The sequence below is a fragment of the Homo sapiens genome, chromosome 8 (genome assembly GCF_000001405.40).
Source record: "Homo sapiens chromosome 8, GRCh38.p14 Primary Assembly".
NCBI lineage: Eukaryota > Metazoa > Chordata > Mammalia > Primates > Hominidae > Homo > Homo sapiens.
Window position 1 is genome coordinate 57488809 of NC_000008.11, and position 13880 is coordinate 57502688.

Below are 13880 nucleotides of genomic sequence, written 5' to 3' on the forward strand. Positions count from 1 at the left end.
AAAAATTGAAAGCTTTAGTTCTAAGGTCTGAAACAAAGTCATTCTTGACACTTCAAATTAACATAGTACTAGAAATGTTAGAACATCCAGGCAAAAAATAAATAAATAAATAAAAGACATCCAAATCAGAAAGGAAAAACTACAATTATCTTTGTTTGCAGATGTCAAAAAGAATAAAAGATTTAGGAATAAACTTAACCAAGGAAGTGAAAGACTACTACACAGAAAACTACAAAACATTGACAAAAGAAAACACAAATAAATGAAAAGACATCCCATACATATAGATTGGAAGAATTAATATTAAAATTTTTACACTACCCAAAGCAGTGTACAGATTCAATCCAATCCCTATCAAAATGCCATTGACATTTTTCACAGAAATAGAAAAAAAATCCTAAAATTCATATGGAACTACAAAGGACTCCAAAGAGCCAAAACAATCTCAAGATGGAAGAACAAAGCTGGAACATCACACGTCTTCATTTTAAAATATATTATAAAGCTACAGCGATTAAAACAGTATGAGACTGGCAAAAAGACAGACATACAGACAAATGGAGCAGAATGGAAAGCCCAGAAATAAACCCACACATATACTATCAAGTGACATTTAAGAAAAATGCCAAGAATATTTTCTACACTTAAAGTTTAGAATATAGATATCAAATTTTATGAAATCTCTTACTTTGATTTTAATTGAGAATGAAGAAAGTTATGAATTCATTTGAGAACTTTTACACTATTGAATCTCCCTTTGCAGAAATATGGTGTGCTTTCCGTCTACTCAAGTCTCCCTTTCTTTCTTTCAGTTAAATAATACGGTTTCTTCAGATACAATTTGAACACTTGTTAGTCTTCTTCTAAAAACTTTATAAATTTTTGTTGTTACGTACTTCTGAACTGAACTGAAATGGGATTTTTTTGCTGTTGACTTCTTAAATTGGTTATTGTTGATGTATAGAAAATGATACCTATTTTGTGTATTTAGGCAACTGATCTATTTTGCTATTAAGTTGGCTTTCCCAAGTTCATTATTTTCAAATAAATACAGAATTGTATCTTCTGCATTAAAAAAGGGAGAATACCAAGAAAACACAGTAAGGAAACAGGAAAGGATAGTCTCCTAAACAAATCGTGTTGGGAAATTGTCTTACACCATACACACTAATCAACAAAAAATGTAATCTAGGCTTAAATGCAAAACCTGAAACTATAAAACTCCTAGAAAAAAAACGTGAGGAAAATCTTATGAAACTGATGTTGGCAATAATTTCTTGGATATGATATCAAAAGCACAGGCATCAAAATAAAAAAAAATAGCCAAATGGGACTACATGCAATTAAAATCCTTCTGAAAGTGCAACTTAAGAAATGAGAGAAAATATTTACAAACCACATTTTAATAATGGGTTAATATCCAAAACATATAAGGAACTCTCGATTCAATAGAATAAAAAAAGAAGAAAAAGAAATAATTTGATCAGAAAATGAGCAATAAAGCAATGAACATAAATAGAAGTATTTTCAAAAAAGACAAATGGCCCACACCTGTTAGGATAATTATTATTAAAAAGTAATAATTCCTTCCTCCTTTAAAGTGCCAGATAAAAGTCTCTGCTGGAGGCTGCACTTCCCAGCCTGTGGAATGGGCAGCCTTTATAAGGAATAAAGTCTCCTTTCCAAATGGATAGATCTGGTGATTTTTCAAGTTTACACCTTGAAAGCTTCTTTATCATGGGCTGAATTGTGCTCCCTCAAAATTTATATGTTGAAGTCCTAAACCGCAGCATATCAGAATGTGACTGTGTTTGGAGATAAGGTCTTTAAAGAGATAATTAAGTTCTAATAAGGTAATTAGGTTGGGGCCTAATCCAATATGATTAGTGCCCTTATAAGGAGGGGAGATCAAGAAACAGACATAGACCTTCAGAGGGAAGACCATGTGAAGACACAGGGAGAAAATGGACATCTAGAAGCCAAGGAGAAAGCCCTCAGAAAGAAACAACCTTGCCAATGCTTTCATCTTGGATGTTTAACCTCCAGAACTATGATAAAATAAATCTCTAGTTTTAAGCCACTTAGTCTGTGGCACTTTGCTATGGCGCCCCAGCAAATGAATATCCCTGCCCTTCTATCGTCTTCATCCACCAACACTGTCATATAACCTGCTAGAACTCATGTTACAAGACTTTATGGAGAAAAAATAATGAGTGAGTTCAGATCTCAGAGCACCTTTCAGAGATTCATGACCTTTCTCCCTTCAAGTTCTTCACCTTTCTCCTCAGCCCAGAGCCTCTGCCTCCTTCCTGATCAAGGAAGTCTCACCTCCTCCGTTCCCATGCCAGATACATACAGACCTGGGTTTGAGTTCTTGTTTTCAGATGTTGGATATTTTTCCTCACCTAGTCACTTACCATTTTATTGTTAGTTTACTTACTTCTGAACTGAAGGAAATAATACCAGTCTAAAGGGCTGCGAGATTAAATGAGAAAATCTATGCAGAGTGCCCGACAGTGGCTGTCACAAATTGAGTGATCAAAAAATAATCTCTACCTCTCTCTTCTGCACAATCTCTATCTCTTCCTTTCCAAAACTGCTGGAAGAGAAAGGGGGATAAAGCAGTGATCTGGCTCCGAAAGTCCCCTCCAGACGTCATGGCTACCTTTTTTTCCTTGGTTTCCTGGGCAAGCCTGCCATCTAGGGGCATCTTCAGTTCCTTTCTCATCTACTCTCAGTGATGATATTCTCATCAGATTTTACACTGAAAATATTGATTTTGTGTGTGTGACGCAGGAACTCTGTCCTGCTGGATTATAAGAGGCTAAACTTTAAAGACTCCCTTGACTTCAATTTATGATATCAGTTGCAGCTGAGGTCCTGAAGCTGGAGTACTAAACCAAGCATGCCCATTTCATAAAAACATGTTTCCTATACCTTCCCGGAACCTCTTTCCTTCTTAGGCTTCATAGAAAGAGAGGTAAAACTCTCTGGCTGTGGGTGCAAAGCTATAGCATCACTTGCGTACAGAATCATGGTTCTACCCCATCTTCCTTTAGTAGCACTTAACATAGACATCATTTACTTACTTACCTGTTTATAGTCAGACTCCCACAACTGGGTTGTAATCTCCAGAATTACAACCTGATGAAATTGTAACCTGATGGAAAAATGAGCAAAAAAGCAATGGACATAAATGGAAGTATCTCCAAAAGAGACAAATCCCAAAGAGCAAGAATATTTTCCCCCATTCTGTTTCCTAGTGCCTAGCCTGTAGTAGACATTCCCTAAATCTTTGTTGAAAAAATTAGTGATTAAATTTTTTCTCTTATCTTCCTGGATTTTCAACCCTAGTCACACACAACCCACTACCCATAGGCCTTCCTCCAAGTTGTAGCTCTTTCTGACTTTCATCAGTTTCTGCAGCTTGCCTTGCCATTCAAGCAGCTTGACCTATTTCCCACTACCCCAGCATATTTCCCTCCTATTTGTAGTCTTTTTCTTTTTTAATTTTAATTTTGGCAAAATACATGTTCATAGCTGACATTTAATGGGACAAACGTCATATACGAAAAATACATGTGGCCCCTGCCTCATTCCTGCCAGCCCTTTCTTACTCTCCATCCTATCCCCAGTGGCATCGCTTTACCTATGGGTTTCCTGGCACTGACTTTCATATTTTCAGTAATATGTTCATGCCAGTTCCAGTGAGAGGACTGTTTGCCCCCAACCATAATAAAATCAGTACAGAAATTAAGTTTTAGAAATTTTTATAGCAATTGATATTGTCTCATTACCCTAAATCAAGACGATTTTCTCAAAATTTATTTTTATTGTCTTACAAAAGTATCTGCCTCTGGTGGGATGGAAAATAAAACAAAACAAAAATGGTTCCTTCTCCACAGAAAGCCTGAGTGTCAGTGCTCTGGGCCACCGCACAGTGATGCTAGAGTCTGTCATTCCAGTGCCCTGCGGGCCCCCTCGCTTTCTGCTCGGTGTTTATTCTTCAGCTCCTGAACACCAGGCTGTTCTCATTTTACCTTGTTTTTATTTGATCAGGTCAGTGAGAGAGCATATGCCCTGGTAGATTCCTGAGAAAAGGAACAGGAGGATGAGAGGTTCAATGTTTTACACATTGCTGGTCTGATAGCTCAGCTTCATTCACAGGTGAGTAGCAATTTTAGTTTGAAAATTATTTTCACTAAGAATTTAATGATATGACTCAATCATCTACTAGCATCCAATATTCTACTAAGAAGTTGAACGTCTTTCTTATTTCCAAAGCTCATTTTGTGGTATTTATTTATTATTCTCTCTATCAACACTCAGAGTTTTATTTATCCCCAGTGTTCTAAAATTTCATGAGTCAGTCATACTTTCAATGTTGGTAATTTTCTTTAATTATTTCACTGGAAATTTTCTTTCCAATGTTCTGTATTCTCTTTCTTCTGCTATAATACCTTTGGATCAAATATTGTTGAATTTTTTATTGATTTTTTTCCTCCCGCTGTCCATGTATCACTTGGTTCTCCTTGCTGACTGTGCAGACTGGGGTGGGAAAAAAACCAACCCTCACATAGAATTTCAACCAATTGCCGTTTCCAGCCCTTGCTTCACTCCACCTTCCATGGTATATGTGCTTCCAATTCCCAAGACTAAACAAATTTCATGAGTTTAATTATTTGTTTTATAACAGTCTTCCTCTCTGCAAGACTTACATTTCCTTTTTTTTTTTTTTGCACACTGCTAACTCAGTTTCTACTTCTTTACTTGCTTTACATATTATAGTTTGAAGTAACAAATGTCTCCAGTTTTATTGAAGTCGGAGATCCTGTTCTGTATACTTACTGCATTGAGATAATTCTAAGACAGGAGGGTGCAAAATCTGTGCTTTTGTGTTACTTTAAAACCAGAAGTCTTTCTCTTCTATTTTATTTGAATTCTAATCAACATACTTTTCCTCCAAGGAGCTAGGAGCTTTCTTGACTGACTCATGTCTTCTCACCACTTCCACATTCTATATGCTACTTATCTTTCTTTCTGGAGTTATCTATTTATAATTTGATTTATTTTAAGTTCCTTGATAGTAGAAACAAACCAAAACAAATTAAACAATAAACAAAACAACAGTCAAATGTATCTGCACACAGAGGACCTTATGTGCAGTTATCCAAAAGAGAAAGATGTTAGGACAATAAAGTGGAAGTGATTTTTTAAAAAAATCTTTCTACTTCTTTGTAGTAACCTGACTTTTTCTTATATATGTTATTTTTCCCAGTGGAAATACTTCCTTATTTGACAAATCTTGAGAAAATTTATATGCATAATCATTCTTTAGAAGAGTATAAAACAAATAGAGCAAATAAAAAATAGGAAATTCACTTATTTTGGGAAAAAAAAGGAGATCATAGGGAGTTTACACAGCTGAGATGGATGTATAATACAAATTGTCACCAGATACTTTTAACTGGTTAGATGCCATCAGTTGAATAAGCTTCTCTTCTGCATCCCCATCCCCAGAGACCGGGCTGCAGTGTGTCCTGGGCTTTGGAATTACTGTAAGATTCTCAAGTGATTTTACTGTGCAAGCAGCTTTGGCAACCATTGTCTAAAAAGGTATGTAGGATTAGAAGAGAAAATGGGTGAGGAGAGAACCATAGTAAAAGTGTTGGCTGAACAAGAGGAGCCAAGGAGAATAAGAGGAAAGTTTATGGTGGAAGAAATCTGGGGAAGTACAGTTTCCTGGAAAGAGGAGAAGAAGGAATGCAGAATAAAAGGGTAATCAAAACAAGAAGATGAACAGGTGACCACTGGATTTGGCATACAGAAGGATTTGGGTGGCCTCACAATGGCGGTTCCAAGAAACTGCCCTTGATCACTGGCATTTAAAGAAGTATAATACTTTAAGTACTTCAGGCTACCAGGGAGCCTGTTAATAAAAGACTGGCCTAATGATGAAATGGTTCTATCATAGTCTGAGTGGTATTAGGTACCAAGCTCTTAGAATGCTCAATGCCTGAGAGATGGATAGCTGGTAGTACAGTTTGAGGCAAAAATCCTTGGTCCATTTGTCCATTGCCCACAGGTGAAGACTTTACAAGTTTAGAAATTCACTTTAAGGAACATCTCTTGTTTTAAGTTTATTGCTTTTCCTATCATAATTATTATTTTATATTTCCCCATGTTGAACTGACCACTGTTGCCTATGAACCACTATGTAGCCTATCTATACTTAACTAGATTTACTAACTTATAAATATCTGTCCCCTACTAGACTGTAAGCCTATCAAGAGAAAGAATGATGTCTTATGATTCCTGTATTTTTAGACCAAGAACAAAATGATCACTTAACAAATATTTATTGTGCAAATGCTGGAGAAGTGTCCCAAAAAGCATCTTAAATTTATTTATGAAGAATATTCGTTTCTTCAAAAGGGAAAGTTGTAAATTAAAGTCTATGACCAACTTGACCCTATTGCTGGTTGGGGCCTTTAAGATTGCTGTTTTTTAATGATTATTTTTCAAAATTCCTCAAAGCAATTTACAGGAAAAGCCTTTTGATTTCTGAAGTGCATAATAGCCACTGTGGTTTATGATTTTTCCATCTTTCCTCAAGGCGCCTAAATGCTCTGTTTCCCTTAGGGATAAAATCATCAGGTTCCTATTGGCTGGTAGCTGTGACTCTATGACATGAACCTGCAAGTTTAATAGTAATGAAGATGGAACAAATGCAATATTCACATATCTTAGAATACTCAGAAATAATGAATGAAAGACAAGTATGTGGCTTAAGTTTTGGGTCACTTTTCCACTTTTGGCTGTACTTTCTGTGAGGCATGTGTTCAAAGAAAAACTCATGAAGTTATGTTCCTTATAATATTTGTTCTGCCCAAGAAACATTTTGCAAATATGCTTTAGGAGACATGTGACATATACCAAAACCAAATTCTGGCCCTCTTGCCAACAAAGCATGGCCAATGCTTCTTCACACAGATGCACAATGTTTATACAGAGCATACCTGAATTCTTGATCATCTATCCACAAAATACATTGCTTTTTCCACAAAGACCATGGTTTCCAAGGCAACAGAAAACTCATATAAAAATGAAAGCTCACACAAGTTGATCTCCATTTCTACGTGCCAAAATCTAACCACCTTCTCCAACCATAATAGTTATATTTCCCACCAGGAAGGCAAGGCTGAGAATGAAGTTCTAATAGTAGAGGCCACTTTTAAATGTGTCAGCATACATTGGTGCTATCAAGAAGAAAATTTTATTTAACAGTTTTCAGAGAGCGGTTGATGGGAGTCATTTGGGTAGAGGGTTAAGTATAGAGAAGATATGTTATGGCTAACCCTGAAGGATATTAGTAATATTGAAGGAGAGAAGATCCATCTTTCCTCTACTACTGGAAATTTTTTCTTTGTAAGCAAGTTGTTGAAAACCTTCTCATTGTTCATTCACTCAAAAACTCATTGCAGTCTGCCTTCTCTGCTTGGAACTGCCCTTGTGAAGCCTTCCAACTCCTTCTGTATGCCAAATCCAGTGATCACTTGTCCATCTTCTTATTTTGATTACCCTTTCATCCAGCATCTCCCTTCTCCACTTTCCAGGAAACTACACTTCCCCAGTTCTCTTCCACCATAATGTTTCCTCTTATTCTCCTTGGCAGGCTCCTCTTGTTCACCCAACACTTTTACTATGGTTCTTCCTCACCCGTTTTCTCTTCTAATTCTACATATTTTTTTAGACAATGGTTGCCAAGTCTGCTTGTACAGTAAAATCACTTGAGTATCTTACAATTCCAAAGACCAGGATACAGTGTGGCTCAGCCTCTGGGAATGGGATGTAGACATCAGTTTGAAATTCTCCCAGGAGATTTCAATGTGAAGACACATTTGTGAAACCACCATCTTAGAGTGCTTCCTTTCCTCTTAATTAACTCCAAATTAGATGACACTGAATATGCTAGGCTTATACTTTGTCAAAAAGTAATCATGCCTGTGACATATGCTCAGTTACTCCTTGAAATTCCTCAGTTGTACCTCATTATTTCAGGATAAAATAAAAATATGTTACCAGGACATTAAAGGCTCCCATGGTCTGGGCTCTTTTTACCTGCTAAGCTTCATCTCACACCACTCCCCAGTCCTGCTCAGTTCTTCCACCAGGAACTGCCCCCTTCACCTGCATAATTCCCACTTGTCCTTCCAGACTCAGCTGGGACATTTCCCTAATACCTTCTGCTCTCACTTACAGTGAGTTTTGTTGACCATAGCTCTTACCCCATGTACATCTTTTTATTGGTTAATCTTGTGGTACATAAGAATTTATTTCAGGGTAGAGTATTTACTTTTTTATTTCTCTACCCAGAATGCAGAGTGCTTTGAGCACACTTGCATGTTCAATGTTTGATGAATAAACGAATAAAAGAATATGATGTTTGAAAATTTTTGCCTTGAAGACATGTTCAGAAAGGGCTTGATCAAATGTATTTATTCAAGCAAAGAGGAAGATCACAGAGCCACAGAGCTTTCCTGCAGGTGCCAGGGTGTTCTTCCCTTCCTCCAGCTTCTTCCTTGGTCATCTGACAAGTGGAGCATCTGGAAACACAATCCAGGTGGTGACACCAACCTTCACATTTGAGGATCACTCTGGACACCATTTTCAGTAACCAAAAATTTAGCAAGGGCTCTCATACCATCAGGGATCTATTCCAACAGCTGGATATTACAAGAAACCACCTGCTAACAAGAGGGCTGGACAACTTTTGGGTCAGGAGAGGATAAGGGGGGAAATATTTGGCACAGAAAGCCCAAATGCCCCATCACTTACAGAGAGATGTAAGGTGTCTTTAAAAATAATTGATTCTCAGTAAGATTAAAAGTTTGAACTGTTTCTCCAACCATGTAGTTCTGTTAAGTTAATCTTGAAATCATTCTTTGAAAACTGACAGGAAAGATACAACTTAGAAAACATTGTGGATGAATACTTCCCCCTTTTGCAAATGATATTTTGGAAGCACAAAAGAAAAAGCTCTAATACAAATATTCATAATGAAAATATGAACTTAATAATACCAATGGCAAGACAGAATAATTAGGAGAAATCGGGTAACGAGCATCTCTCCTATTTTTAGTTTGTAAGCCTTTTTTGCTTTTTTTTTTTTTTTTTTTTTTTTTGAGACAGAGTCTCACTCTGTTGCCCAGGAGTGCAGTGGCATGATCTCGGCTCACTGCAAGCTCCACCTCCCGGGTTCACACCATTCTCCTGCCTCAACCTCCCGAGTAGCTAGGACTACAGGCGCTCGCCACCACGCCCGGCTAATTTTTGTATTTTTAGTAGAGATGGGGTTTCACCGTGTTAGCCAGGATGGTCTTGATCTTCTGACCTCGTGATCTGCCTGCCTCGCCTCCCAAAGTGCTGGGATTACAGGCGTGAGCCACCACGCCCGGCCCCCCTTTTTTGCTTTTTATGTAACTGCCACTTCCTGGTATGTTGTAAGCTTTACAAAATAAAAAAAAAAATTGAGTATTAAAAAAGTTGAAATTAAGTCACTTTTCCACAGTTATCTAGTAAAAACAAACACATAGAAACAAATAATAGAAGAGAATAACGTGATTTCCTGAACGGTCAATTATTGTGTGATACAAACACCATGTTCCAGATTTGACTTTTGTACCGTTTTTCTCCAAGAAACGCCATAGCCATCTCTGATAACATATGCTCCTCCAAGCCTTCAGTATCAGTTAATCGGCTGTCATACCAACTGCCAGTTATAGTCTGTGCTGTCTTTCCAATCCTTTTCCTGTTGTTGGTAGTAGAAAGTGACAAAATATATAACAATCTAAGTCTTAATAAATTAATTTTATATGGTTATGCTCAAAGGCATCCAAAAAGACAGGGACTTATTGTGACAATACAGTCATCCATTGGAAGTGTCGTGTTCTAGTAACACATGCTGTGACCCAAACTGGCTTCCTGGGCCTGTGACCTGGGCCGGCACCAGGGCCCTGCCCTCAGAATGAACTTGTACTTGTTTTGATGCTCAACTGCTGCCATCTTGAAATTCTTAATGTTTGAACAAGGCTCACACAATTTTATTTTGCTGTGGGCCCTGCAATTTGTGTAGCTGGTCCCGCTTGTGAACCCTCACTAAGCATTTTCTCTTGGGTGAAGCGTGTCTAAAATCAAAACAATGTCAGTCAGCATTAATAGAAAAAAGACATTGTGGATGGCAGCTTATTGCTACAGAAGTGTCGGTGGACTGACGAGAGGGACAGCCCATCTACCTTCTCCCAAGTCATGGCATTCTCTATAGGCCATTATAGATGCAGATGAGTCTCTGATATGTTTTACATTAACTCAAATATCCTTTGTTGCCTGATTTCTGCTTGCTGCTTTCTTGCCTGACAGGACCCCTACATAGGACTCCCAGGGATTATCCCTGTTTGCACAAGAATGATTACTCTTAGGGAAAGTCTTCTAACTCAAAATGCAGCAAACATCACCACAAAATTTAGTCAGGTGCCTGCATGCTTCAGGCTCATCTATTAGAATATACAAAATAAATCATCCCTTTGCAGAGCCAGGTCAGTATTATGATAATGTGGTTCAGGGAGAATAAGTAATTGCTGATGTTAAGAGAGATGAACAAAGTTGATGGATGTGGTCAACAAATGTTTATTTCAGTTTCATTGTATCCTTCTTGAAAAGTACTTAAACTAGTTCACTAGAGGATAATTAGATTTCTGGCATGGATTCATTAGCATACTATACTGAAAATTACTTTTTCTCTGTATTTATACCTATCTGGTAGAAACAGAGATGCAGTTGGAATATGGACCTTTAGATGGTATAGCAAAGAAAGAGATATGAGCTTTTTTGTAGTTGAGACATTTACTGAATTTTCATTAATACTGAAACAGAAGGAGTTTAGATGATAGACACTGAATTGTTTTGGCTAGAAAATAATTTCGGCTCAAATTGATGCAAGAATGGTAGGTAAGCTTTCTGTAATTGTATATGCTATCATCTTTTTGTAATTGATGTGTGAAAATGGTCTAGGCTTAAAAATATATGTAACTTTAAAACTGGATGTTTACAAAATCAGCTTTTCTTTTTGCTGTAAGTCCTATCAGGCTGATGTTCCAAAGAGACACGTGCTTGAGCTGTCTATAGCCTTCCTTCTCACCCATAAGAACTTGGAGAAAGTGGGTACCAAGAATCTTTCCTTCTTCACAACTAATGAAGAAAAAAATGAGAGCATAGTAATGATGACCAATATTATTTAGTAACAAAATAAAGCAACCTTTAGCACTTTGATTTAAAACATTTATTCTACATAAAAATAACTGATAAATATTTGTTAACTATGACTGAGTGGGTGATGTAGATACACACAGCTCTCAAGGAAGGGAAAGGGCAATGTCCTCAAATTGTGCCTAATGGTAAAGATCACCCAAGACACATGTGAAAAATGCACATTCTTATATCCTACCCAGGACTACTAAATCAAGAGATTCTGCCAAGGGGTCTGAGAGTCTGTATGGTAAAGACCCACCACAAGCATAGGGGAAACATGCATTAGGCAGTGGTTCTTAGGGAAACCACTGCAGGTGATCAGAAACAGTCAGGGCTGGGTGTGGTGGCTCACCCCTGTAATCCCAGCACTTTGGGAGGCCAAGGCAGGAGGATCCCTTGAGGTCAGGAGTTTGAGACCAGCCTGGTCAACATGGTGAAACCCCATCTCTACTAAAAATACAAAAATTAGCCGGCCGTGGTGGCACACACCTGTAATTCCAGCTACTCAGGAGGCTGAAGCAAGAGAATCTTTTGAACCTGAGAGGCAGAGGTTGCAGTGAGCTGAGATCATGCCACTGTACTTCAGCCTGGGCAACAGAGCGAGACTCTGTCTCAAAAAAAAAACAAAAACAAAAACAGTTGGAGGGCTTATTAAACTGGGTCCCATGCCTGGTTTCTTATTCAGGCATTTGGAAAGTGGTATGAGAATTTGCATTTCTAGTAAGTTCCCAAGAAGACACCAGAGATCCTGGAGCAGGAACCACACACTGAGAACCACTGGGTTTCAGAGCCTTATTGTGGTGTCTGCTGTTACAATTCACATGGCTCAGGTGGCTGCATGCCTAGGAAGCATATGATTCCTCTCTGGTCATGTTGCTGTTGATGAAAAAGCCAAAATCTGTAAAATATTTAAAGAAGTTTATTCTGAGCCAATATGAGTGACCATTGTCAGGATATAGTCTCAAGAGGTCTTGAGAAAGTGTGCCCAAAGTGCTCAGGTTACAGTTTGGTTTTATACATTTTAGGGAGGCAGGAGTTACAACCAAAGACATAAATCAATACCTGGAATGTGTACACTGGTTCAGTCTAAAGAGGTGGGATATCTTGAGGGGGCACTTACAGTTCATAGGCAGATTCAAAGATTTTCTGACTTGCAATTGGTTGAAAGGGTTAAGCTTTATCTAAAGACTTAAGAAGTCACTAGCTTGAGCTAAGATAAGGGGGTTGTGTAAGCCAAGGCCTTCATTTCGTAGATGAAGTCTCATATGTAGTAGCTTTCAGAGAGCAAGTGATGCTATACCAGAGTCACGTTGAAATTTGATATCTTATTGCCACAAAGAACCTTGTGTTTTGTCAGTCTTATGATCTCTATTTTAATGTTAGTGATGGTTAGTTGAGCCTAAACCCCAAAGGGAGAGGGTATAAGGAGGCATGTCAAACTTCCCTTCCCATCATGGCTGGAACTCAGTGTTTCAGGATTCCCTTGGCCCAGAAGGGGTCCGTTCAGTTGGTTGAGGGGGCTTAGGATTTTATGTTTGGTTTACACTGCTCTCCATCTCAAATCCTTCATAACCTTCCATAAACAGATTGTGATGCTTTTCGTAGGGTAGATCCCAGCCTGGTACCTGAAGTCATGATGCCACAGAGGGTAAAGATAACCCCAAGAAAAGGGCCAGCTCTCATCTAAACCCCACAACATATCAGAAATAATGAACATTTTAAGGACAAAGGCGAGTCGATCGTCATACTTGGATGAAGACAGAGTAAGAGATGGGCAACAACAGTCCCAAAGGACATGGACAGCCTCATAAGCTCTTAAACCAGAATTTAGAGAAGCTTAGGTTGCAGGCAGCATCAGCCACTTACATTTTTTTTCAGGATGGGGCTGAGAGGAATATGAGGAATATACTTTTTGGTCTGAATAAGATTTTTTTTTTCACAGAGGAGATAGATATAAAATGAGCATTCCTCTTTGGATATATCTCCTAAAGGAACCTTTCCTTTAGGCAGATATCATGAAGGTAAGCCTTGTGTGTCTGTGTGTGTGGTTCTGTGTGCATGTGTGTTTCTGTGTGTGGGGTTGGGGGCAGGCAGGAAATGTGGTGTGTGCTTTCCCATGTGTGAGGATGGCAAGGTGATGTCAACCTTACTGGCCAAGCCAGACCCTAGCAGCCTTTGGCTACACCTTTCTTCTAAGCCTTCCTCTTTCTTCTAAGCCTTCTCTTTCATCCATGATTAGGTTTGCCTATACATATCTTGTTCTGATTTAGGTTACTTTCATCTGAGTATTTGTCTATCGTTACCACTAACCACAGGTGTGGGAACCTCACCCTCTCTCCAAGTTGCTACTCTGCACCTTTTCTTTGCTAAGCCCAAGTCTTTATTTTTAAATAATAATGAGAGTGGTGTTAAAACAAAAATCAAAAGACAGGTGGTATGTTTCAGAATCTTAAGCATTCTTTATAGATTAACTTTTAGATTATAAAGTTTCTAATCTACCTACCAAAGATTTGATTTCAATAGCTACAAATGTGCTTCCAAAAGCAAAGTATAAAAAGCCAAATGGCAGTCAA

At 38.1% G+C, this 13880-nt stretch overlaps 1 long non-coding RNA gene across 1 annotated transcript in view; it reads left to right on the forward strand.

The window, feature by feature from the left end:
• Positions 1-13880, forward strand: part of LOC105375855 (uncharacterized) — an 88963-nt gene that overhangs the window by 26106 nt on the left and 48977 nt on the right. The window contains exon 2 of the long non-coding RNA XR_928920.3: positions 4060-4167. This is a non-coding gene — a long non-coding RNA (uncharacterized LOC105375855). The remainder of the gene's footprint in view (positions 1-4059; positions 4168-13880) is intronic.